At 46.3% G+C, this 25,268-nt stretch overlaps 2 protein-coding genes and 1 non-coding gene across 8 annotated transcripts in view, besides 7 other annotated features; 2 read left to right on the top strand and 1 right to left on the bottom strand.

The window, feature by feature from the left end:
• TMEM41B (transmembrane protein 41B) overlaps window positions 1–2,971 on the top strand; it is a 33,940-nt gene extending 30,969 nt beyond the window's left edge. The window contains exons 7-8 of one of the 2 annotated variants that reach the window (NR_028491.3): window positions 32–254; window positions 2,584–2,971. Coding sequence is in view for 1 of the 2 variants with exons in the window: in NM_015012.4 (NP_055827.1) it covers window positions 32–201 (170 nt within the window). In the remaining variant the exon portion in view is untranslated. Of the gene's footprint in view, window positions 1–31 lie in introns of both variants that reach the window. The other variant, NM_015012.4, reaches the window with a different exon arrangement.
• A 5,337-nt stretch (window positions 2,972–8,308) lies between these two features.
• Window positions 8,309–8,382, bottom strand: TRL-CAA5-1 (tRNA-Leu (CAA) 5-1). The gene has a single exon. It is a non-coding gene; the product is annotated as a tRNA-Leu (tRNA).
• Window positions 9,716–9,916: a silencer, noted in NCBI's record as "peak1192 fragment used in MPRA reporter construct". NCBI's record gives its function as "represses an SCP1 promoter by STARR-seq MPRAs in K562 erythroleukemia cells {active_cell/tissue: K562}" and the evidence as "EXISTENCE:reporter gene assay evidence [ECO:0000049][PMID:32103011]".
• Window positions 17,974–18,043: an enhancer, noted in NCBI's record as "active region_4405". NCBI's record gives its function as "activates an Ori minimal core promoter by ATAC-STARR-seq in GM12878 lymphoblastoid cells {active_cell/tissue: GM12878}" and the evidence as "EXISTENCE:reporter gene assay evidence [ECO:0000049][PMID:35858748]".
• The window catches only part of DENND5A (DENN domain containing 5A), a 126,526-nt gene continuing 119,532 nt past the window's right edge, over window positions 18,275–25,268 (top strand). For 4 of the 5 annotated variants that reach the window (NM_001348749.2, NM_001243254.2, NM_015213.4 and 1 more), the window contains exon 1: window positions 18,275–18,664. In NM_001348749.2, the coding sequence (NP_001335678.1) occupies window positions 18,556–18,664 (109 nt within the window). In that variant the 5' untranslated portion in view covers window positions 18,275–18,555. The remainder of the gene's footprint in view (window positions 18,665–25,268) is intronic. The other variant, NR_145966.2, reaches the window with a different exon arrangement.
• Window positions 18,324–18,423: a silencer, noted in NCBI's record as "silent region_3123". NCBI's record gives its function as "represses an Ori minimal core promoter by ATAC-STARR-seq in GM12878 lymphoblastoid cells {active_cell/tissue: GM12878}" and the evidence as "EXISTENCE:reporter gene assay evidence [ECO:0000049][PMID:35858748]".
• Window positions 18,474–18,833: a silencer, noted in NCBI's record as "silent region_3122". NCBI's record gives its function as "represses an Ori minimal core promoter by ATAC-STARR-seq in GM12878 lymphoblastoid cells {active_cell/tissue: GM12878}" and the evidence as "EXISTENCE:reporter gene assay evidence [ECO:0000049][PMID:35858748]".
• Window positions 19,124–19,243: an enhancer, noted in NCBI's record as "active region_4404". NCBI's record gives its function as "activates an Ori minimal core promoter by ATAC-STARR-seq in GM12878 lymphoblastoid cells {active_cell/tissue: GM12878}" and the evidence as "EXISTENCE:reporter gene assay evidence [ECO:0000049][PMID:35858748]".
• Window positions 19,404–19,743: an enhancer, noted in NCBI's record as "active region_4403". NCBI's record gives its function as "activates an Ori minimal core promoter by ATAC-STARR-seq in GM12878 lymphoblastoid cells {active_cell/tissue: GM12878}" and the evidence as "EXISTENCE:reporter gene assay evidence [ECO:0000049][PMID:35858748]".
• Window positions 22,703–22,762: a silencer, noted in NCBI's record as "silent region_3121". NCBI's record gives its function as "represses an Ori minimal core promoter by ATAC-STARR-seq in GM12878 lymphoblastoid cells {active_cell/tissue: GM12878}" and the evidence as "EXISTENCE:reporter gene assay evidence [ECO:0000049][PMID:35858748]".

Raw genomic sequence — 25,268 nt, 5'->3', positions numbered from 1 at the left:
TTTTACTGTATCTTTTTATATTTTATTTCAGGTGTCGCACCTCCTTCTTTTGTAGCCATTAAGGCAGGAACAACACTGTATCAACTTACAACAGCAGGAGAAGCTGTTTCCTGGAACTCAATATTTATTCTGATGATCTTGGCTGTTCTTTCTATTCTGCCAGCCATCTTCCAAAAAAAACTAAAGCAGAAATTTGAGTAAAAATAATCATCTGATTTTTAGTTTTGCTGTCATCACCATCTCAGGATTAACAGGTGCATCCATTTATGTTTTAAAATCACCTCTTCAGTAATTAAACAAGGAATTTGTAAAATAAAATTTCCTATCAGATAGTTAAAGTAATACATTTAAGTGACAAGGGGAGAAGAAAGTAAAAATGGAAATTGGTATACTGTGAAAAGTGCTATCAATAGTTAAGGTAGACATCTTAGACATCTTATAAATTATTATACCAAGGGTAGCTGTAGATAATAGTAGTGTGGTAGGAAATTGTTGATCCAGCTAATTCATTCAATTTAATTGAATATTTTTTATCTTTAATAACTAAAATAGATATTTTTAAATTCTAGATTTTTTAAAGTAGTGTTGCAGGTTTTGTTAATGTTAGGCTTTTTTCAGAGCATAAACTGGAAAACTTAAAAAGAGATTTACATTTTCTTCCTCTTTTTTTTTTTTTTTTTTTTTCTGTTTTGAGACGGAGTCTAGCTCTGCCGCCCAGGCTGGAGTGCAGTGGCGCGATCTCCACTCACTGCAAGCTCCACCTCCTGGGTTCACGCCATTCTCCTGTCTCAGCCTCCTGAGTAGCTGGGACTACAGGCGCCCGCCACCATGCCCAGCTAATTTTTTTGTATTTTTAGTAGAGACGGGGTTTCACCGTGTTAGCCAGGATGGTCTCGATCTCCTGACCTCGTGATCTGCCCGCCTTGGCCTCCCAAAGTGCTGGGATTACAGGCGTGAGCCACCGCGCCTGGCCCATTTTCTTCCTCTTTTGAGGTAATGGATTTGTTTGGAGATGGCATGTTAGTAGACGACTGAATATGGAAAGGATATCAAGTTATCTATTTTGTTAATTTTATTTTTGTTTTTTATCATCTAGATTTTTATCATGGATTAGTCTGAAATTTAAAGTTCTGGCCAGTCGGTTTTCTTTCATCTTGTAGTTTTTACAGTATTTCCACTGTGCATATGCAAAATGGGTATTACATAACTGTATCATATTTGGTATTGATAATTTTTTTTTTTTTTGAGACGGAGTCTTGCTGTTGCCCAGGCTGGAGTGGAGTGCGTGGTGTGATCTCGGCTCACTGCAAACTCCGCCTCCTGGGTTCAAGCGATTCTCCTGGCCCAGCCTCCTGAGTAGCTGGGATTACAGGTGTGTGCCACCGTGCCCAGCTAATTTTTGTGTTTTTAGTAGAGACGGGGTTTCACCATGTTGGCCGGGCTGGTCTTGAACTCCTGACCTCAGGCTATATGCCCACTTCCACCTCCCAAAGTGCTGGGATTACAGGCATGAGCCACTGTGCCCAGCCTGGTATTGATAATTTATATTCAGATAATTTGTTATGGCTCTTTAATATCCCACAAGGGGCTCTAAAAAGCAAACATTCAAGAGTATGTAGTTTTTAGACATTAAGTTAATTATTTTAAACAGTGACAGCAAAACACAAGTGATTAAATATAGTTTATTTGTTCCAATGACTAAATTTTACCTCATTTATTAATCTGGTCATTAAGGAATATATTTAATAATATTATGTAATTATTCTTTTTATGCATGATACACCTAGAAAAATGCCTTTTGTTTCTATTGATGGCTTTGTTGTTTGGAGCTACTTTTGATTACTTATTGCAGTTTCCCAATTTAGTCTTTACTTTATCTAACTCACAAAGTAAAATTAACTGATCACATGGCAACTACTGTATTTAAATAGTTCTGGAAAAATGAAAGTGCTTTTTGCTGCTTGGTAAATGGGTAATGCCCTTGATTCCTTGACTGTAGGACATAGCTGATCTAAAGTACTCTGTCAGTTTTACCTTCACCCATGACTGTTATTAGTTGTCAAAGTTGAAAAGTACTTTAGCTGTGAGAAATCCTTGTATGTTTTTATTATAAGAGGTATAATCATCCTCAAAGCCTGTTTTTATTACATGATGTGGACTGATTATTTTTTCTATCACAGTGTTAACAGATGGATTTTATTGTAAATACAAAGAAAACATATTGATTATTGTAGTATTCTTATGTCACCTGGCCTTTTGCGTGAGATTATTTATTATTTCTAGCAAGGCTTTCTTCCTTTCTTATTGCCCAGAGACTGACTGATACATCTTTTGTTATTTTTACACATAAATTAAACATAGCCTTTTTGGACAAATTCACTAAATATTAATGTATAAAATGTAATTGAGTAAATTTTTATCAGAATTTTAAAAATAAAAGAGCTTAGACTCAGTAGAACTCAGTAGAAGCTTCACTATTTACTCCAGCGTGTGTAAATTGTACTTACTCTATTCTCAGAGTATATTTACTGTCCTTACCATTGATTCTTTCCCTTTGCTAATTTTTTTTTTTGTTAATGGTAGCTGCGACTTTAGGTGGGGTATATTTTCTTCTCCTAAGAGAATAGACAGTTTTTCCAGATTCATCATCATTGACTGTCAAGAAAGGACCCTTCAGCAAGGCTGTACCCTCAATGCAGTTGATGGCCTGTCTTCACGGATTTACAGACTTGGCCTGATGCCCATGTAAATTCAAGCTTTGGCTTGTGGTAACAACCACAAGAAGACAAGCATCTGTGGTGCGGAGGCAAGCAGGCTAACTAGGAGTTGACAAGCTAAGAAAGTGAAACTGTTCTTTCTTAGTTAACTGTCTTTCTCTGGAGCTCTGTTATTTTGAGTATAATATTTCCATGACACTTAGTAAATGCAAGCTAAAATGTAATAATAATAAATTGTATTGGAGAAACCTAAATGTCACATTTGGGATTTATTTCATGGAAGTACTTACATTAAAAAACTCTGGCCGAGCAAGGTGGCTCACGCCTGTAATCCCAGCACTTTGGAAGGTCGAAGCAGGTGGATCACCTGCAGTCAGGAGTTCAAGACCAGCCTGGCCATCACAGTGAAACCCCGTCTCTACTAAACATATGAAAAATTAGCCAGGTGTGGTGGCACACGCCTATAGTCCTAGCTACTTGGGAGGCTGAGGCAGAAGAATTGCTTGAACCCAGAAGGTGGAGGTTGCCATGAGATGAAATTGTGCCACTGCATTCCAGCCTGGGCAACAGAGCCAGACTCTGTCTCAAAAAACTAAAAACAAACTCTTCGTTGAATAAAAGTATATTCTTAAATTTCGATGTACATTTTCACCACTAAGAACAATGAAATGGCCGGGCACGGTAGCTCACACCTGTAATCCTAGCACTTCCAGAGGCCAAGGTGGGTGGATCACCTGAGGTCAGGAGTTCGAGACCAGCCTGGCCAACATGGAGAAACCCCGTCTCTACTAAAAATAAAAAATTAGTTGGGTGTGGTGGTGTGCACCTGTAATCCCAGCTACTTGGGAGGCTGAGGCAGGAGAGTCGCTTGAACGCGGGAGGCAGAGGTTGTAGTGAGCCAACATCACACCAGTGTACTACAGCCTGGGTGACAAAGTGAGACTCCATCTCAAAACAGGCCAGGCGCGGTGGCTCACGGCTGTAATCCCAGCACTTTGGGAGGCCGAGGCGGGTGGAGACAAGGTCAGGAGATTGAGACCATCCTGGCTAACATGGTGAAACCCCGTCTCTACTAAAAATACAAAAAATTAGCCCGGTGTGGTGGCGGCCGCCTGTAGTCCCAGCTACTAGGGAGGCTGAGGCAGGAGAATGGCATGAACCCGGGAGGCGGAGCTTGTAGTGAGCCGAGATGGCGCCACTGCACTCCAGCCTGGGCGAGAGTACGAGACTGTATCAAAAAAAAAAAAACAACAAAATATTTAAAAATTGTTTTTTTGAGGTGGAGTGTCTCTCTGTCGCCCAGGCTGGAGTGCAGTGGCGCCATCTCGGCTTATTGCAGACTCCGCCTCCCGGGTTCACGCCATTCTCCTGCCTCAGCCTCCCGAGGAGCTGGGACTCGCGCCTGCCACCTTGCCCGGCTGGTTTTTCGCACTTTTAGTAGAGACGGGGTTTCATCGTGTTAGCCAGGATCGTCTCGATCTCCTGATTTCGTGATCCGCCCGCCTCGGCCTCTCAAAGTCCTGGGATTACAGGCGTGAGCCACGGTGCCTGGCTAAAATATTTAAAACTTGTAATTGTTGGCTTTTGAGGTTTTTTTTTTTTTTTTTGGAGACAGAGTTTCGCTTTCGTTGCCCAGGCTGGAGTGCAACGGTGCGATCTTGGCTCACTGCAACCTCTGCCTCCCAGGTTCAAGCGATTCTCCTGCCTCAGCCTCCGGAGTAGTTGGGATTACAGGCACGTGCCACCCACCACACTCAGCTAATTTTGTATTTTTAATAGAAATGGGGTTTCTCCACGTTGGTCAGACTGAACTCCCGACCTCAGGTGATTCACCCTCCTAGGCCTCCCAAAGTGTTGGGATTACAGGCGTGAGCCACCAAGCCCAGCCGGCTTTTGAAGATTCTAAAGCAATTTAAATTGTTTAGGTAAGGCCGGGCACAGTGGCTCAGGACTGTAATCCCAGCACTTTTGGAGGCCAAGATGGGCAGATTACCTGAGGTCAGGAGTTTGAGACCAGCCTGGCCAACATGGTGAAACCCTGTCTCTACTAAAAATAACAAAAATTAGCTGGACGTGGTGGCTCACGCCTGTAGTCCCAACTACTCAGGAGGCTGAGGCAGGAGAATTGCTTGAAACCAGGAGGCGGAGTTTGCAGTGAGCACCACTGCACTCCAGCCTGGGCAACAGTGTGAGACCTTGTCGCTAAATAAATAGTTGAGGTAAGTAAATATTTCCTTTTTTTTTTTTTTTTGAGACGGAGTTTCGCTCTCATTGCCCAGGCTGGAGTGCAATGGCGTGATCTCGGCTCACCGCAACCTCCGCCTCCCAGGTTCAAGCAATTCTCCTGCCTCAGCCTCCCGAGTAGCTGGGATTACAGGCATGCACCACCACGCCTGGCTAATTTTGTATTTTTATAGTAGAGACGGGGTTTCTCCATGTTGAGGCTGGTCACGAACTCCGGACCTCAGGTGATCCGCCCGCCTCAGCCTCCCAAAGTGCTGGGATTACAGGCGTGAGCCACCGCGCCTGGCCAAGTAAATATTTCTAGTACATACAATGAGTTGTTTATGAAGGAATCTTTTTAAAGTTCTCTGGCTTTTTGAAAATGTGTATAATCAAAAGGGCTGAAGCTTTCCTGATAATCATTCGGTGGTCATAGTTAAGATGTTTAGAAGATACATCTCATTGCAGTTTTCAGTATTCTCATTATTATTTTTCTTTATCTGGGACAAACTTAGTCTGGGTGACTTGAGGCAGGATATTGCTTAAGCTCTCATCCTCATTTTTCTCATCTAGAATAAAGAGGTCTAAGGTCCAGGATCCTTACAGCTCAGACATGATAAGATTCTCTGAAATTAATGAAAGTTTAATAAGCTGCCCCCAATTCAGAATATTAAATTAAGCATACCTTGCTTTGTATAGCTTGTTTTACATCTTACAATATACTTTCACACACATTTAAGTAAATTAACTTTTTTATTTTTTTGAGACAGAGTCTTGCTTTGTCATCTAGTCTGGAGTGCAGTGGCGTGATCTCGGCTCACTGCAACCTCTGCCTCCTGGGTTCAACCAATTCTCCTGCCTCAGCCTCCTGAGTAGCTGGGATTACAGGTGCCCGCCATTGCGCCCAGCTAATTTTGTATTTTTGGTAGAGACAGGGTTTCCCCATGTTGGCCAGACTGGTCTTGAACTCCTGACCTCGTGATCCACCCCAACTCGGCCTCCCAAAGTGCTGGGATTACAGGCATGAGCCACCGCGCCCAGCTAATTTTGTGTTTTTAGTAGAGACAGAGTTTCACTATGTCGGTCAGGCTGGTCTGGAACTCCTGACCTCAGGTGATCCACCCGCCTCGGCCTCCCAAAGTTCTGGCATTACAGGCATGAGCCACGGCGCCCAGTAGCTTTTCTGTTTAGTAGAGAAATGTTGGATTTGATAAATGAGGATGGAAGACAAGAAAAGAATGAAGTAGAGGCACAGGAGGAAGCCATGTGGTGAGACAGCACAATGAATGTTGACTTTCTGGTTCTGAGAGTCTTGTGTTCTGCTATTTGTTAGCAGCACGCTGGGCAACATAGCCCTACTGTTAGCTCATATGGTGGTTTTGGATGAAGTAGAAAAGGATGTCGCTGGGCACGGTGGCTCATGCCTGCAATCTCAGCACTTTGGGAGGCCAAGGCGGATTGCCTGAGCTCAGGAGTTCAAAACCACCCTGGGCAACATGGTGAAACTCCATTTCTACTAAAAATACAAATAATAATAATAATAATACCAGGGTATGGTGGAGCGCTCCTGTAATCCCAGCTACTTGGGAGGCTGAGGTGAGAGAATCGCTTGAGCCCGACAGGCCGAGGTTGCAGTGAGCCAAGATCGCACCACTGTACTCTGGCCTGGGAGACAGAACGAGACTCCATCTCAAGAAAAGAAAAAGAAGATGCCCCTTTCTTTTTTCTTTGTAGAGATGGCAGTGGGGGTGCTGGGTCTCACTGCATTGCCAAGGCTGGTCTTGAAATTCTGGGCTGAAGCAATCCTCACAGCTAGGCCTTCCAAAGTGCTGGGACTACAGGCACGCACCACTGCGCCTGGCCAGGTGCCTCTTTCTTAAGATATTTTACTGCCATCTGTTGGAAAACTGTCGTCAACCATATAAATTAATAATGAGTACAATGATGGTGTCTCATGGTACCATGTACACAAATATGAGCAGCAGCTCTGCCTGTCAGCTGCAGGGCCCCTGGGGCCAGGTTACATATGCTGATAACTCACAACTTGAGTTTAGCAAACCTTGAGGGTGGCAGGCAGGAGTTGAGCCAGCAGGCCAAGGAGTGGCCCAGCTATATCACCCCAGGGTCCCAGCCTCAAAGGTGGTCAGTTGAGTTGCTTCTCACTTTATTGTCTTGCCCATGGCAGCCCAGGTAGGTTGTTTTGGTGGGGGCTTTTGGCAGTTCCAACGTTTGTCAAAACCTACTACATGGGAGTGGTGTTTTTTCTAGGTGAAGTTTGTATAGGCTTACCAAAAAAAAAATCTATGTATTTTACATTTCACGGGAATTATATTACCTTTTATGGTCCACATATCTGTATTAATTACAAGATCTGGGACCAGGAGCAGTGGCTCACACCTGTAATTCCAGCGCTTTGGGAGGTCAAGGCAAGCAGATTGCTAGAGGCCCAAAGTTACAGACCAGCCTGACCAACATAGCAAAACCCCGTCTCCACTAAAAATTTAAAAATTAGGCCAGGCGTGGTGGCTCATGTGTGTAATCCCAGCACCTTGGGAGGCCAAGGTGGGTGGATCACCTGAGGTCAGGAGTTTGAGACCAGCCTGGCCAACATGGCAAAACCCTGTGTCTACTAAAAATACAAAAATTAGCTGGGTGTGGTGGCATGCACATGTAATCCCAGCTACTCGGGAGGCCGAGACAGGAGAATTGCTCAAACCCCGGAAGCAAAGGTTGTAGTGAGCGAAGATCCCGCCACTGCACTCCAGCCTGGGCGACAGAGCAAGATTCCCTCTCAAAAAAAAAAAAAAAAAAAAAAAAAAAAGGCCGGGCATGGTGGCTCACTCCTGTAATCCCAGCACTTTGGGAGGCCTAGGTGGGTGGATAACAAGGTCAGGAGTTCGAGACCAGCCTGACCAACATGGTGAAACCCCCGTCTCTACTAAAAATACAAAAATTAGCTGGTCGTGGTGGCGAGCACCTGTAATCCCAGTTATTCAGGAGGCTGAGGCAGGGTAATCGCTTGAACCCAGGAGACGGAGGTTACAGTGAACCAAGATCATGCCACTGCACTCCAGCCTGGGTGACAGAGCGAGACTCCATCTCAAAAAAAAAAAAATTAGCTGGGCGTGGTGGCGGGCGCCTGTAATCCCAGCTACCCAGTAGGCTGAGGCACAAGAGTTACTTGAAGCTGGGAGGCGGAGGTTACAGTGAGCCGAGATCATACCATTGCACTCCAGACTGGGCGACAAGAGAGAAACTGTCTAAATAAGTAAATAAATAAATTAATTAATTAAATAAATAAATGACTCTGTCTCAAAAATATAACACAGGCAAGCTTGCGTTCCTTCGCCAGCTTAATAAGGTGACCTTGCCCCCTCTGAGGCTTGAACTCAGGACCATTCAGATTTTGAGACTGATGCGCTACCTACTGCACTAAGGAGGCAGCTAAAAGATGCTTTGCTTCCTATAATATACAGTTCTATAGGTTTTGGAAAACATAATCGTGTAATCACCATGCAATCAAAATATAGAACAATTATTTTATTCCCCAAAGCTTTTAAGAGCTCAGCTCAGCTATTTAGATGGCTAAATATATCTTCCTTTTGGGATCTGGTCCAAGTGCCGTTCACTTCCCTTCATTATATCATCCAGCCTTTCCTAGGAAGCTCTTGGCTCTCAAACTGATGGGAATAAGGAGGCCACTGTGTTCACAGTGTAAGGGAGAAGGGTGGGTGCAGCACAGATAAAGTCATCCACCCATACTCTCAAAATACTCTCAACCTAGGGGGACCCAGGGAGAAGGGGGAAGAGGCTGAAGGGAGCACTGGAGTCACTCCTGGGCTTGTAGGAGAGCCAAAGGGACTCTTTTGCTTCCTTGGTCCAGCTACCCTACCCTGTCTCAGCCTCCACACACACACTCTTCTCTCTCTTTCTTTCTCTCTCACTTTCTTTCTCTCTTTCTCCCTTTCTTTCTCTCTCTCTTTCCTTTCTTTCTCCTTCCTTCCTTCCTCTCTTTCCTTCCTTTCTTTCTTTCTTTTTTTTTTTTTGACGGACTTTTGCTCTTGTCTCCCAGGCTGGAGCGTAGTGGCATGATCTTGGCTCACTGCAACCTCCGCATCCCGGGTTTGAGCGATTCTCCTGCCTCAGCCTCCCGAGTAGCTGGAACTACAGGCACATGCCACCACACCCGGCTAATTTTGGTATTTTTAGTAGAGACGGGGTTTCACCATGTTGCCCAGACTGGTCTCGAACTCCTAACCTCTGGCGATCCACCTGCCTCGGCCTCCCCAAGTGCTGGAATTACAGGCATGAGCCACCACGCATGGCCCACACACTCATATAAAGTACACACATACAATTATTTACACATGCAAACACACATACATCTAATATATGTAAGCACATAATATACATACATGATTACCACTATGCACAAATGCTTACTCACATAGAAATAAGCTCAAACAGGCTGGGTGTGGTGGCTCATGCCTGTAATCCCAGCAGTTTGGGAGGCCGAGTAGGTGGATTGCCTGAGCGAAGGAGTTCCAGACCAGCTTGGGCAACAGAGTGAGACCCTTGTCTCTAATAAAATACAAAAATTACCCGGGTGTGGTGGCACACGCCTGTAATCCTAGCTACTCTGGAGGCTGAGGTAAGAGAACCGCTTGAACCCAGGAGGCGAAGGTTGCAGTGAGCCGAGATAGCGCCACTGCAATTCAGCCTGGGCGACAAAGAGAGACTACATCTCAAAAAAAAAAAAAAAGCTCAAACAGAAATACACAAGCTCACACATCTGGGAAAGTTGCATCTTGCATCACTTGGGGAAGTCATCAGTCATTTGCTCCTCCTGTTGCTTCAACTTCATACTTCCTCACCATGGGGTATCAGAGTTATCCTGAGGCTGACTATTCTTTGTGGCTTCTTTGTTGCTGTGGGTTATGATAGATGAAGGGTAATGTCTAATTTTCAACTGATTTAGTAAGCTTGTGTTTGAGAGACATGAGGATCCTGATGCTGGTTCCGGGCAAGGTGTTGGAGGCTAGTGGGACACAGGGTATGGGGAAGTGAGGCATATGTGACTTCTTTTGTAAAGATGTGTCAGAGGTAGCTGAGTGCATCACTACTTCCCTAGATGTATTGGTGTTTCTAGTCTTAAGAAAGCCCATATTTGTGAAGCTTACGTTTTTCTACACTATACGTGGAATTTTTTCGATTGTACATGGTGAACTCCCATTGAGTGTTGGAGAGAAAGCGTTTGAGCACCCACGAGTTCATCAGCTGATGTGTTCTTGAATGCTATACTGAGCTGGAAAGTAGATAGGTTATGCCTGGGTGGAGTTGAGCTGACCCATGCTAGCATAGGTATAGGCTATCTCTAGAAGAATTCACAAGGCATTGCTTACATTCACAGTAAAAGGTATTTCTTAGTTGTTTTTGTTTTTTGTTTTCAGGTGGAGTCTTGCTCTGTCGCCCAGGCTGGAGTGCAATGGCTCAATCTCAGCTCACTGCAACCTCAGCCTCCTGGGTTCAAGCAATTCTCGTGCCTCAGCCTCCCGAGTAGCTGGGACTACAGGCACACGCCACCATACCCTGCTAATTTTTGTATTTTTAGTAGAGACGGAGTTTCACCTTGTTGGTCAGGCTGGTCTCGAACTCCTGACCTCAGGTGATCCGCCCACCTCAGCCACCCAAAGTGCTGGAATTACAGGCATGAGCCACCGCACCTGGACTATTACATATTTTTTAATAGTGTGATGGTTAATTTTATGTGTCAACATGACTGGGCTAATGGATGCCCAGGTAGCTAGTAAAACATTATTTCTGGGTGTGTCTGTAAAGCATTTCCAGAAGAGGTTAGCATCTGAATTGGTAGACCGAGATCACCCTCACCAATGTGGGTGGGCATCATCTAGTCCACTGAGGTCCTGAATTCATCAAAAAGGCAGAGGAAGGGAGAATTTGTTCTCTCTCTCTTCTTTTTTTTTTTTTTTTTTTTTTTTTTTTTTTTTTTTGAGACAGAGTCTCAGTCATCCAGGCTGGAGTGCAGTGGTGCGATCTGGGCTCACTGCAACCTCCACCTCCCAGGTTCAAGCAATTCTCATGCCTCAACCTCCCAAGTAGCTGGAATTACGGGTGCATGCCACCACTCCTGGCTAATTTTTGTATTTTTAGTAGAGATGGGGTTTCACCATGTTGGCCATGCTGGTCTGGAAATCCTGACTTCAAGTGATCCACCCCCCTCAGCCTCCCAAAGTGCTGGGATTACAGGCATGAGCCACCATGCCTGGCCTGCTCTCTCTTGAGCTGGGACATTCTTCATCTCCTGCCCTTGGATATCTGATTCTTGGGCCTCCAGACTCAGATTGAATTACACCACTGGCTTTCCTGAACCTCCAGCTTACAGATAGCAGATCGTGGAACTTCTTTCTCAGTCTTCGTAATCATATGAGCCAGTTTCTCAAAATAAATCTCTTTCTCTATATCTATATATATCCTGTTGGTTCTGTTTCTCTGGAGAACCCTGATTAATGCAAATAGGTAATACATTCTTGTGGTTCAAACCTCAAAAAGTATGAAACAATGTACAGTGAAACATTTCCATTCTATTCCTGATCCCAGCCATTCAGTTTCCTTCCCTAGAAGCAATCAATTTTTTTTTCAGATTTTTATTTTATTTTATTTTTTATTTTGAGACAGAGTCTTGCTGTCACCCAGGCTGGAGTGCAATGGTGCAATCTCGGCTCACTGCAACCTCCGCCTCCTGGGTTCAAGCGATTCTCCTGCCTCAGCTTCCTGAGTAGCTGGAATTACAGGTGCCCGCCACCATGCCTGGCTACTTTTTGTATTTTTAGTAGAGACGTGGTTTCACCATGTCGGCCAGGCTGGTCTCAAGTGATCTGCCCTCCTTGGCCTCCCAAAATGCTGGGATTACAGGCGTGAGCCACCACACCTGAAGCAATCAATTTTAACAATGTTTTGTTTATGCTTCCAAAAATAGACTATGCATATACAAAAAAAAATTCTTTTATTTTCTCTTTTTTATACATTTGATAACATATTACACAGTTTTTCCTTATTTTTTTCTTGCTCTTGTTTTGTTTTATAGCTGCATAGTATTCCAGCGTTGGCAGAAACTATAGTTTCTTTAATCTGTCTTCTATAGCTAGGCATTTGGATTGTTTTCAGTTTTTTTGTTTTGTTTTGTTTTGTTTTTCCTGCAAGACGGAGTCTTGCTCTGTCTCCCAGGCTGGAGTGCAGTGGCACGATCACTGCAACCTCTGCCACCCAGTTTTAAGCGATTTTCCTGCCTCAGCCTCCTGAGAAGCTGGTATTACAGGCGCGAGCCACCAGGCCCAGCTAATTTTTGTATTTTTAGTAGAGACGGGGTTTCACCATGTTGGCCAGGCTGGTCTCAAACTCCTGACATGGTGATCTGCCCGCCTCGGCCTCCCAAAGTGCTGGGATTACAGGTGTGAGCCACCACGCCCAGCTCTGTTTTCAGTTTTTGCTGTTACAAACAGTAATTATAACAGTTTTTGCTGTTACAAACAGCAAATTATGTATATTTGCAATTATATATACTTGATCCAAGATATATGTCAATACCTCATTCAGGTTTTCAAAACGGGGTTTGGCTCTGTGAGTGGATCTGTGTGGACCTTTCCTAAGGATTCATTCCCTCCACTCTTACTTAGACTGATCTGTTGTGATCATATTCTCCCTTCTCTCTAGTTTGGTGTTGCTTTTGCAAGGTATAGACTTGCAAGATATAGCCCTGCTGTTCGTGCATTCCTTCAAGGCAAGAAGCAAGACTGGAGGGAGTAATAAAAAGGCAAGTAATCTCCTGTCTCTTCAAATTGATGGTTTCAAAACACTTGTTGAGGCAGGGTTCAGTGGCTCACACCTGTAATCCCAGCACTTTAGGAGGCTGAGGTGGGAGGATCCCTTGAGCCTAGGGGTTCCAGACCAGCCTGGGCAACATGGTGAAAACCCATCTTAATTAAAAAAAAATTATAATTAAATGGCCGGGTGCGGTGGCTCACGTCTGTAATCCCAGCATTTTGGGAGGCCGAGGCAGGCGGATCAGGAAGTCAGGAGATCGAGACCATCCTGGCTAACGAAGTGAAACCCCGTCTCTACTAAAAATACAAAACAAAATTAGCCGGGCGTGGTGGCGGGCGCCTGTAGTCCTAGCTACTCGGGAGGCTGTGGCAGGAGACTGGCGTGAACCCGGGAGGCTGAACTTGCAGTGAGCCAAGATTGTGCCACTGGACTCCAGCCTGGGCGACAGAGTGAGACTGCATCTCAAAAAAAAAAAATTATAATTAAAAAAAGATGACAAGTCAGTTGGGTATATAAAGCTAGAGTCCGGGGGTAAATTCCAGTTAGAGTTAATATATGTAAAGTTCTTAAAACAGTGCTACGTGTTTCTTTTTAAGCTGTCAGATTGTGTCACTCCTTTGCTCAAAACTCTCCGGTGATTTCTCATTTTATTCAGACAATGGCAAAATCTTTCCAGTGTGCCTACAAGGCTCTCCATGATTTATCCTCTTACCCAACATCTACTTTGGTGATGGTTAATACTAGCTGTTGTAACAAATAAACCCCACAGTACCAGTGGCTTCACACAACTGAAGTTTATTTTTTGTTCACAGGACAGTCCGGTGTGGGTATTCTTGGTCAGCTGGAGCCTTTCCTCCATGTGCTTTACCATTACTTAGAGCCTCAGAATCTTCTAATTCTAGCTGGTAGAAGGCAAAAATAGAAAGAAGGGAGAAGTCTAATCTGCTTCTTAAGTGCCCTGACCTAGCAGTGACATACATAAAGTCCTACACACATTCCATTGTTGAGAACTAGTCACATGGCCACATCTGGATGCAAGTAGGGCTGGGCAGTGTCCCTGAGGAGGCGGGTCCACACACTATGGAAGGGAAAATTGATGTTTTTGAATTGCAAGCCAACTCCACCACACCTTCTACCATCTTCCACCAATCCTCCCCACCCTAACCCTCTCCAGCCACCCTGGCTTCCTTATTGCTCCATGAACACTCCAGGCACACTCTGCCGCACACCCTCTCCTGGAGTTATGTTCCCTCAGATGTCCACTTGCTCTCTCATGTTCCTCATGCTAAAATGGGTGTCCCAGATTGCCACTTATTAAAAGTATATTATGTCCCAGATTTTAAAAATTCCTTTTTCCATTAATTTATGAATCTTCAGTGCAATTCTGTGAGGGGTCAGAATGACTCTTCTCATTTCAGAGTGTTTAACTGATGTACCCCAGCTTACACAGCTAGTAAGAGTGGGAGTGGATTTAAACATTAAATCTTCACGCCTGTAATCACAGCACTTTGGGAAGTCAAGGTGGGCAGATCACCTGAGGTCAGGAGTTCGAGACCAGCCTGGGCAACATGGCGAAACCCCGTCTCTACTAAAAAAAAAATTAGCCCGGCATGGTGGCGCAGGCCTGTAGTTCCAGCTACTCAGGAGGCTGAGGCAGGAAAATAGCTTGAACTCGGGAGGCAGAGGTTGCAGTGAGCTGAGGTTGTGCCACTGCTCTCCAGCCTGGGTGACAGAGCGAGGCTCTGTCTCAAACAAACAAAAAAACATTAAATCTTGGCTTGGCGCAGTGGCTCACGCCTGTAATCTCAGCACTTTGGGAGGCCGAGGCGGGCAGATCACGAGGTCAAGAGGTTGAGACCATCCTGGCTAACAGGGCGAAACCCCGTCTCTATTAAAAATACAACAAAATTAGCCACTACAGGTGGCGGGCACCTGTAGTCCCTGATACTCGGGAGGCTGAGGCTGAGAATGGTGTGAACCTGGGAGGCGGACCTTGCAGTGAGCAGAGATCACCACTGCACTCCAGCCTGGGCGACAGAGCGAGAATTCATCTCAAAAAACAAACAAACAAAAATACAAAAAAAAAAAAAAATTAGCCAGGCATGGTGCGCGCGCCTGTAGTCCCAGCTACTTGGGAGGCTGAGGCAGGAGAATCGTTTGAACCTGGGAGGCGGAGGTTGCAGTGAGCCGAGATGGCGCCACTGCACTCTAGCCTGGGTGACAGAGCGAGACTCTCTCAGAAAAAAAAAAAAAAAAAAAAAGAAAAAATCTTAAGAGCATCCCTTTCTATATTTTCTGACTCTCTAAGAAGCAATCACTCTGCCAAACTTATTTCCTACCGGGAAGGAGATCACTTCACAGTTGAGTATTCTGGGCTTCTGAGCAGTTACATTTCCCAGGGCAAATTAATACAGTTATGCATTCGTTTTTAACTTGTGTTTTACGAGTTGAGTTAATATGAGAGGTCGTCTAGCACCAGATCACCCTGGACACCTTGGATAAAAAGTTTCTGGACTTTTCAGTTGAGGACGTTTATTCCTTTCTCAAATTTCTTTTTCCACATCACCCCTAGAGTGATCATTCTCAGATTTGGGTCAGATATCACTCCTTGGCTTGAATTCCTTTACTTTACCTCACTCATCCTCAACTCATATATCTTATAGGATAAATTATTTCTAAAAAATACTATTTATTTATTTATTTATGACAGGGGTCACATTATGTTCTCCACTCTGGTCTCAAACTCCTGGGTTCAAGCAGTCCTCCTGCCTCAGCTGCCCAAAGTGTTGGGATTACCAGCGTGAGTGTGAACCACGACGCCTGGCCGAGGATAAATTCTTTAGCCTGGTATTTGAATCCATGCCTCCTTCCTCTGTTCTCCTTCTTCCTCCCCTGCCCTGGTTTCATTCCCTTTAAACTCTCCATCTCCCATCTTAATGTTAATGAATTACTTGTTGATGCCTGAACATACCCTTTTATCTGTTGCTCCCTGTTGTTACACATACTGAGTTAAACATCTTTCCCTGCCCCTTTTTACCTGAGAAACTTCCTGTTGATCCTCTGGAACTCAGGTCAGAGTATATACCTCCTTCTGGAAACCTTCCCTGACCATTCCCCAATCTGGAAAGATGTCCTCCTTCTGTGCTCTGTAACTTTCTTTTTTTCTTTTTTTTTTTTCAGGGTGTCTCTGTTGCCAGGCTGGAGTGCAGTGGCGCCATCTTGGCTCACTGCAACCTCCACCTCCCGAGTTTAAGCAATTCTCCTGCCTTATCCTCCTGAGTAGCTGGGATTACAGGCACCACCATACCCAGCTAATTTTTATAATTTTAGTACAGATGGGGTTTCACCATGTTGGCCAGGATGGTCTTGATCTCCTGACCTCGTGATCTGCCTGCCTTGGCCACCTAAAGTGCTGGGATTACAGGTGTCAGCCACCACGCCTGGCATATTTATTTATTTATTTATTTATTTATTTAGAGGTAGAGCCTCATTCTGTTGCCCAGGCTAGAGTGCAGTGGCACGATCTCGGCTTACTGCAACCTCTGCCTCTTGAGTTGAAGCGATTCTCCTGCCTCAGCCTCCTGAGGAGCTGGGACTAAAGTTGCCTGCCACCACACCCTGCTAATTTTATATTTTTGGTAGAGATGGGATTTCACCATATTGGTCAGGCTGGTCTTGAACTTCTGACCTTAAGCGATCCGCCAGCCTTGGCCTCCCCAAGTTCTGGGATTACAGGTGTGAGCCACCACGCCCAGCCTCTGTGACTGTTTAACTCACTAATCCCCCTCTACTGTCTCTGTGTCCCCAGCATGCAGGATACGGGTGGAGCATCACCATGAATGGGCGTTTTGAAGCAACCTTCTCCTCCCCACTTTTCTCCCCCTAGTTCAGGCAGGTTAGATACAGGGAGGAACAGGTGCTATGGCTCCGAGAGACAATGGCTATAACCTCTAGGTAAACCTCCCCAAGGGAAACAATATTTGAGAGAAGTACCCAGGAGAACCTAGGAGAGAGCCTAGGCTCAGCCTTTGGGGAAGCCAGCTGCCTTCTACAGCTCTTAGTGGCAGCCTCCCAGAACAAACCGTAAGAGTACTTCCTTCTGGAACAATAATAATAATCCAGGCTGGGGGCTCATTGGCTCATGCCTGTAATCCCAGCACTTTAGGAGGCAGAGGAGGGCGGATCACCTGAGGTCAGGAGTTCGAGACCAGCCTGACCAACACGGTGAATCCCTGTCTCTACTGAATACAAAAAATTAGCCGAGTGTGGTGGTGCGCGCCTGTAATCCTAGCTACTTGGGTGGCTGAGGCAGGAGAATCACTTGAACCTGGGAGGCAGAGGTGCAGTGAGCCGAGATTACGCCATTGCACTCCAGCCTGGGCAACAAGACAGAACTCCGTCTTGAAAAAAAAAATCTGTAATATTTACTGAGTGATTTCCATGTTCCAGGCAGTATTCTCATTGTTTTACCTGTACTTGCATTTACCTTATGTAATTGTCTCAAAAACCATGACGCCAGGCACTTAGAGATTAACTTGCTCAAGGTCAAAAGTAAATGATCGTCAGGATTGAAATCCGAGCATTTTTTTCTAGAGCCCATGCTAGTGACCACTATACCTGTGTTGCCTTTCTGGCCTCTGATCTCCAGTTTCCAACAAAGACACATCTGCCTAGCTTCTATGGGAAAGGAAATCGGAGGGTCCTAGGACAAGGACCAATAGGTAAGTTTCCCTTCGCCTCCTCCCTATCCTCTTACAGGAAAACAGGTTTAGGGGTGGATCTGAGAGTTTTCACAGAGTGAAGAGGAAGAGGAGCTCCCAAATGGCAGGCGCCTCTGGAGGCTTCCAGAGAAAAAAGGAGAGAGCGTGGGAAAAGGGCAGGCTGGGAGGTGGGAGCGGCGAGGAACGGGGAGCTGACCACAAGCCCAGGATTCCAGACCAGGCTTATGTCTCTTAGACTCAGCGTAACCTTGGATAAGTCCTTGCTTCTTTCTGAGACTCAGTTTCCCCGTCTGTAAAATAAGGGTAAATATAAAACCGGCTCATCCGCCCCTGCCAAAAGAGAGGACAGGGAGAAGGCCCTGTCTGGGGTCTAGGCTGACACGCTGCAGCTAGGATTAGGTGAGCTTCCGAGCTCAGTCGTGAGACCCCATCCTCATGGCAAGGCCGCGCTAAGATCTCTGGACCTCTGCTTGCTGGGTGGGTGGTTGGGGGCAGAGCATGGGCCAAATGCCCGGCTCTGCAGGCTGCGCCCACTCTTCTCGCACCTCCTCAGCCCTCCCTAAAGGAGTCTCAATCCCGGGGGAGTGGCAGTTGCGGGCGACCAAGCAGTCACCGGCTGCGCTGCGGCGACCTCCCGGGAAGCTGCGGCCGGCGGGGTCCGAAGAGCATCACGTCATCCTTTCCCCCAGGAGCCCGCCCCCTCCCAGACGGCGCCTGCGCAGGCGCGGTAGGAGGAGGGTCACGGTGGGGGCTGTCCACGCGCTCTCCGCCCTTCTCCAGGCTCGCTCGGGCCGCGGCGCTCTCGGCTAGCTGCAGCGGCGGCGGCGCGGAGGGGAAGGCATCCAGGATGCGGTGCGGGGCGGCCCGGTGCCCCCCCGCCCCGTCACGGCAGCCGCGGCGGCCGAGGGGACCGGGCCAGGGCCGGGGGCGGCGGCCCGAGCCGCGGTAGCGGCGGCGGCGGGAGGGGCGGCCTGAGGGCGGACGGGCGGGCGCCCGGGTTGCGGGGGCTCGGTGCCGCTCCGCACTGCCCGGCCGGTCTCGGCCCCGGCGCCATGAGTGGCGGCGGCGGCGGAGGGGGCTCGGCGCCCAGTCGCTTCGCCGACTACTTTGTCATCTGCGGACTGGACACGGAGACCGGGCTGGAGCCGGACGAGCTGTCGGGTGAGTGCGCGCCGAGCCCGGGGCGCTTTCCCGCGCCCGCTGTCGTCGGGGACCCCAGAAGAAACCTTCCTTCAGCCCCGCTTTGTCCCGGGAGCCGGGCGAGTGTCGGCCGGGAGGACCAGGGCGGGCGCGGGCGAAGGGGGCTTTGGACTGGAGGGGGGAAACGGATGAGGGGCTCTGAGCCATGAGGGGTCCAAACCTACGGCCCGCTGCGCAGTGGCCACGTCTTCGGCGACCAGAAAGAGGGAGGGTTGTGTGTTCTCAGTTTGGTGTAGGTTGAGTGACTTCGTTTAAAATAAAGGAAAGCTTGTCCTCTGGCACCCATTAGGGAGGGAAGGCGTCCCACGTCCTAGTGAAAGTAAGTTCCACCCAGACTTAAAAAAAAGGAAAACAAAAACTTGGTGAGTTTATCTGGCCACTTCCCAAGAAGCTTGTGATACTAGTTCCTCAAAACCGTTATACCCCAGCCCTGGGCTGGGCCCCCTGAGTCAGATTGCAGCTCTGCGCGTCTGGATGGGATATGAAGTAATAAAGTGAACTTGGGCGGCACCAAGAAGAGTAGGAACTCCCTTAGCCTTGGAAAGGGCTTGTATCCCGGGGCCATGCCTTTTTTGAAAAGTAATTTATGTCCTTTATGAGGACAGAGGCGTTTGTGAATAAAAGGGTAGCAGCATTGTAGTTGGAGAGGCTTGGTGTGTTCTGATGCGTTTCAAGTCATATTTGAAAGGGAAAGTGATGAGGGGAGTCAAAGATGGGGCCCTGACCAGATTTGGCACTCACTGCAGAAGGCCGTGAAAATTATACAGTCCCCGTGAATTTTCCACTGCACTGTCATTGGAGTCTTTGAATTGTAACAGTTTTGAAAATAAGTTTTTGTCTGGAGTTTCCAGTTAGTGGGTTTCAAGTGGGTGGAGGTTTGTCGGGTTGTACTTTAAGGTTGTGTCATCCTGATGAGGGGGACTCCTTTTCACTTTTCTGTCACTGTAAAGTTTCTCTTTCGAAAGTGATTATCCTGTTGACTAATCTTACTCGGCTTCAACGATGACAAGACAGTTTTGTTTTTGGGCACCAGAAAAAGTCCAGTGTTTCTTTTTTTTTTTTTTTTTTTTTTTGAGACGGAGTCTCGCTCTGTCGCCCAGGCCGGACTGCGGACTGCAGTGGCGCAATCTCGGCTCACTGCAAGCTCCGCTTCCCGGGTTCACGCCATTCTCCTGCCTCAGCCTCCCGAGTAGCTGGGACTACAGGCGCCCGCCACCGCGCCCGGCTAATTTTTTGTATTTTTAGTAGAGACGGGGTTTCACCTTGTTAGCCAGGATGGTCTCGATCTCCTGACCTCATGATCCACCCGCCTCGGCCTCCCAAAGTGCTGGGATTACAGGCGTGAGCCACCGCGCCCGGCCCAGTGTTTCTTATGAAAAAAAAATTAGGCGGGGCGCGGTGGCCCACCACCCGGCGGCTCAGGGGTAATCCCAGCACTTTGGGAGGCCGAGGCGGGCGGGTCACCTGAGGTCAGGAGTTCGAGACCAATTTGGCCAACATGGTGAAACCCCCGTCTCTACTAAAAATACAAAAATTAGCCGGGCGTCGTGGCGCGTGCCTGTAATCCCAGCTACTCAGGAGGCTGAGGTAGGAGGATCGCTTTAACCCAGGAGGGGGAGGTTGCAGTGAGCTGAGATTGCGCCAGTCTGGGTGATTGCGCCACTACACTCCAGTCTGGGTGATAAAGCGAGACTCTGTCTGGGAAAAAAGAAAAAGAAGAAAAAAGCATGATAAATTCATGCTTTAACAAGGTTAGAAAAAAATGAGCTATTTCCTCAATAGCAGGTGGAGAAAATATGAAGCAGTAATATAATTAATATTAGGCTTTTTGTCGGGGTAGTTTTATGGTTTCTAATTTACTTTAAAAAAATTTTAGTTTTAGGCCGGGCGCGGTGGCTCACGCCTGTAATCCCAGCACTTTGGGAGGCTGAGGCGGGCGGATCACGAAGTCAGGAGATCGAGACCATCCGGGCTTACAGGGTGAAACCCCGTCTCTACTAAAAATACAAAAAATTAGCCGGGCGTGGTGGCGGGCGCCTGTAGTCCCAGCTACTCAGGAGGCTGAGGCAGGAGAATGGCGTGAACCCGGGAGGCGGAGCTCGCAGTGAGCCCAGATCGCGCCACTGCACTCCAGCACTCTAGCCTGGGCGACAGAGCGAGACTCCGTCCAAAAAAAAAAAATTATTTTGATGAGTACCTAATAATTGTTCAAGTTTATCTTTTAAGGTCTTCAAATTCTTATAGTACAGATGTTTTTCATCTTTTTCATATGTAGTAAGTTTGTGACTTTGATGTAATTTTTGGAATTCGGTTCAGGGTATTGGTGTTGGAAGGGACCTCAGAGGGGAAAATGAGGCCCAGGAAGGACAGTGGGGCCTGTATACACTAGTTAATTGCTTGGTCCAGTGCTCTTCTCATGACATTAAACTGCATCTCATTGGCCTGGCTGGAGGTCTTTAGAAAACACTAACATGTTGAGAAATATTAAAAACAACATAATTCTTCTCAGTAAAAGAAACTAAGGTGGTGGAATAAACTTTTTTTTATGCGTGTTTTTGAGTGTCAAATTGTATGAACACTTGGTTTGAGAAGATAGAATGTTTTGCGAATGATAGAGCATAAGAATGAAGCTGGGAAGTTAACTGTTAGCGAGAGCATGAGTTTAGGGTAATATTCCTGCTCTCCTATTGACTATCTTTGTGATTGGGAGCAAGTTAGAGATAACCCTGTCAGGGTCCTCATCTATAAAAAAAGAATGTAAATAAAAATAATCTCATCAAGTAGACCTTCAAAAATGTTTAAAAACTGTCTTTCAACATTTCATTAAAAAAGAAATGTTACTGTCTTAATGGATATGTGTTAATTATCTGGCTTTTTGGCAAGCTAAAATTATATCCTTGTGAAAGTTTATTGGGATAATAAAGAAAGGGGGATGAGTTGTATAAAATGTGTAAAGAGGGGTATTTTCTGTTTTTTTAAAAATGTGGTTGCAGTAGTGGAATGCCGAGACCACATTTCCGATAGGTGGCCTTTGTTAGAGTATGCAGTGTTGGAAGGATTTTTTTTCCCTCTTCATTTCATTTCTGGTGGGTTGGTAGGGGAATCTGAACTATCCAGAGGGAATCTTTTTTTTTTTTTTTTTTTGAGACACAGTCTCACTCTGTTGCCCCAGCTGGAATGCAGTGCTGCAATAGTGGCTCACTGAAACCTCCGTCTCCCAGGTTCAAGCAATTCTGCCTCAGCCTCCCGAGTAGCTGGGATTATGAGCCGCGCGTGCCACCACATCAGGCTAATTTTTGTATCTTTAGTAGAGATGGGGTTTCACCATGTTGGCCAGGCTGGTCTTGAATTCTTGACCTCAAGTGATCTGCCCACCTCGGCCTCCCAAAATGCTAGGATTACAGGCGTGAGCCACCACTCCCAGAGGGAATCTTTGAATAAAACAAAGCAGAGTACAAATAGCAGGTTCTTCCTGAGAGTCTCCAGGGTGCATTTTCTCTCCTCAGCCTGCCTTGTAGCTCCCAAACTGATGATATCATACTCAGTAACTAACTACAGGAAATTGTAATTTGTAGCCAGGTTCTCCAAGAAGGTATTAAGGAGTCTCTAAGAAGGTGCACTCCACACAGTTAACTTACATAGCTCAGGTAGCATCTACATTCTTAAAAAGTGAACCCAGAATAAGCAAATCAAAGATGCTCGGTGTTCCTTCTTGTTTTGTGGAGAAAGGTTAAGATTCATTCCTCTCTGTCTGCAACAAATAAACATGGAGGCTGGGCGCAGTAGCTCACACCTGTAATCCCAGTACTTTGGGAGGCTGAGGTGGGTGAATTGCTTGAGCCCAGGAGTTTGAGACCAGCCTGGGCAGCACGGCAAGACTCTTATCTCTACAGAAAGTACAAAAAATTAGCTGGGTGTGGTGGCATGCACCTGTGGTCCCAGCTGCTCAGGAAGCTGAGGTGAGAAGGTCACTTGAGTCTCAGAGGCAGAGGTTGCAGTGAACTGAGATTGTGACACTGCACTCCAGCCTGAGCAACAGAGTGAGACCCTGTCTCAAATAAACAAATACAACTAAAAATAAAAAATAAAAAAACCCAAATAAGCATAGAGCTTGCTGTGTTTAATATAGACTGAGGTAATTGGATTTTGTAGGAATCTCTTCCTGTCACTTCTTTCCCTTTCTTGCAGACTCAGCATTTAGGCAAGTAATGTAGTTGTTTTTTGTGCAAGGAATTGAGGAATGTGTGAAAATTAATTTTGTTTTCTGGTTGAGGAAGCTCTTTGGGCTAGAAGGAGAAGAAGGTAATATGTGAGCAAAGCACAGATTTAGCCACCTTGAGGATATGGTGTCTGCTTGTTGGCTTTTTGAACTTGTCAGTTAGGTAAGCAAATCTGGAAGAATTGCTTCTGATTTATGTTTTCCATTATTTTTGGCACATCGTAAGTGGGGAGGCAGATGATAGTGGAGTTCAGTTTCTTTTTCTACCTCTGATGGGCGAATGTCCTGGTGAATCTTCTTTTTCTTTGTTTCTGATGGTCACCACTAGGTGACCCCAGGAGAAGGTTTTACTGTGAAATGGGGTTCATGAGTTTATTTTCCTTGTCTCTGCTTGAGAATTAAGGTTCCCAAATACTTGTGACGTATTTCTTACCTTGGAATCTGTAAGTTCCTCTGAACTGATCTGCACCTAGCATTGAGATATAAGTATCCTAGGTTCTTTCATCTTGTACTCCAATTTTCCCAGGCTCTGTGCAGAAGCTCTTGCCAGGAATTGAAGAGAAGTGGCTAGGGATAAGGATAGATGGGAAACTGGCCAGTGTGCTGTATGAACTTACTAGAAAATTGAGACTACACTGAAATAGTCTCTCTCTTTTTTTTTTTTTTTTTTTTTTTGAGATGGAGTCCTGCTCTTTTGCCCAGGCTGGAGTGCAATGGCGTGATCTCAGCTCACTGCAACCTCTGCCTGTCTGGTTCAAGTGATTCTGAGCCTCAGCCTCCCAAGTAGCTGGGACCACAGGTGTGCACTAGCACACCTGGCTAATTCTTGTATTTTTAGTAGAGACAGGATTTCGCCATGTTGGTCAGGCTGGTCTTGAACTCCTTACCTCAGGTGACCCACCCGCATTGGCCTCCCAAAGTATTGGGATTACAGGTGTGAGCCGCTTCGCCTGGCCTGAAATAGTCTCTTAATGTCACCTTTAGAAGAGAGAGGGTCCTGGTACAGTGGCTCACATCTGTAATTCCAGCAGTCTGGGAGGCTGAGGCAGGATGATGCTTGGGTCCAGGAGTTTGAGATCACCTTGGCCACTGTAGCAAGACCCTGTTTTTTTGTTGTTTGTTTGTTTGTTTGTTTTGAGATGGGAGTCTCACTCTGTCGCCCAGGCTGGCGTGCAGTGGCACGATCTCGGCTCACTGCAAACTCCGCCTCCCGGGTTCACGCCATTCTCCTGCCTCAGCCTCCGGAGTAGCTGGGACTACAGGCGCCCACCACCACGCCCGGCTAATTTTTTTGTACTTTTTTTTTTTAGTAGAGATGGGGTGTCACCGTGTTAGCCAGGATGGTCTTGATCTCCTGACCTTGTGATCCGCCTGCGTTGGCCTTCCAAAGTGCTGAGATTACAGGCTTGAGTCACCACGCCTGGCCTGTTGTTTATTTTTTTGAGATGGAGTTTTGCTGTTGTTGCCCAGGCTGGAGTGCAATGGCACGACCTCAGCTCACTGCAACCTCTGCCTCCTGGGCTCAAGCGATTCTCCTGCCTCAGCCTCTCAAGTAGCTGGGATTACAGGCATGTGCCACCATGCCCGGCTAATTTTGTATTTTTAGTAGAGATGGGGTTTCACCATGTTGGTCAGGCTGGTCTTGAACTCCTGACCTCAGTTGATCTGCCCGCCTCGGCCTCCCAAAGTCCTGGGATTACAGGTGTGAGCCACTGCGCCCAGCCTAATACCCTGTTTTTATAAAAAATAAAAATAATTAAGAAAGAGAAAAAGGTGACTGTCTAGGAAAGCTAGAGGACTAGTCAAATCATACTCCTCCTTGACTGTATTGAGCAGTGAAATTCGAACTTCAAAATTATCGAATGTTAACATGAAAGCACCCTTTGCAATTATATAACCTTCTGATTTTACAGATGAGGAAACTGAGGCCCTGAGAAAGTGGGAGAATATTTGTCTCCCTTGCCACATTTCATTCTTTTCTGCTACTTGAGTGATATTTTGCATGCTTTGCAGACCTTTGATGAGTGGTGGATGCGGGGGGAACAAGCAAAAAATTTGTCTGGCAGGGCAGGAACAGACGTTATGGTAGTTTTTTTCTAGTCCAGGTTTCTGTTTCATGGTAAGAAAGAATACTGTGTGTGCAATAGCAAGACTTGGAACCAACTCAAATGTCCATCAGTAAGAGACTGGATAAAGAAGATGGCACATACACATCATGGAATACTATGCAGCCATAAAAAAGGATGAGTTCATGTCCTTTGCAGGGACATGGATGAAGCTGGAAACCGTCATTCTCAGCAAACTATCACAAGAACAGAAAACGGAACACCACATGTTCTCACTCAT

The sequence above is a fragment of the Homo sapiens genome, chromosome 11 (genome assembly GCF_000001405.40).
Source record: "Homo sapiens chromosome 11, GRCh38.p14 Primary Assembly".
Lineage (NCBI taxonomy): Eukaryota > Metazoa > Chordata > Mammalia > Primates > Hominidae > Homo > Homo sapiens.
This window is presented reverse-complemented; position numbering and strand designations above follow the sequence as displayed.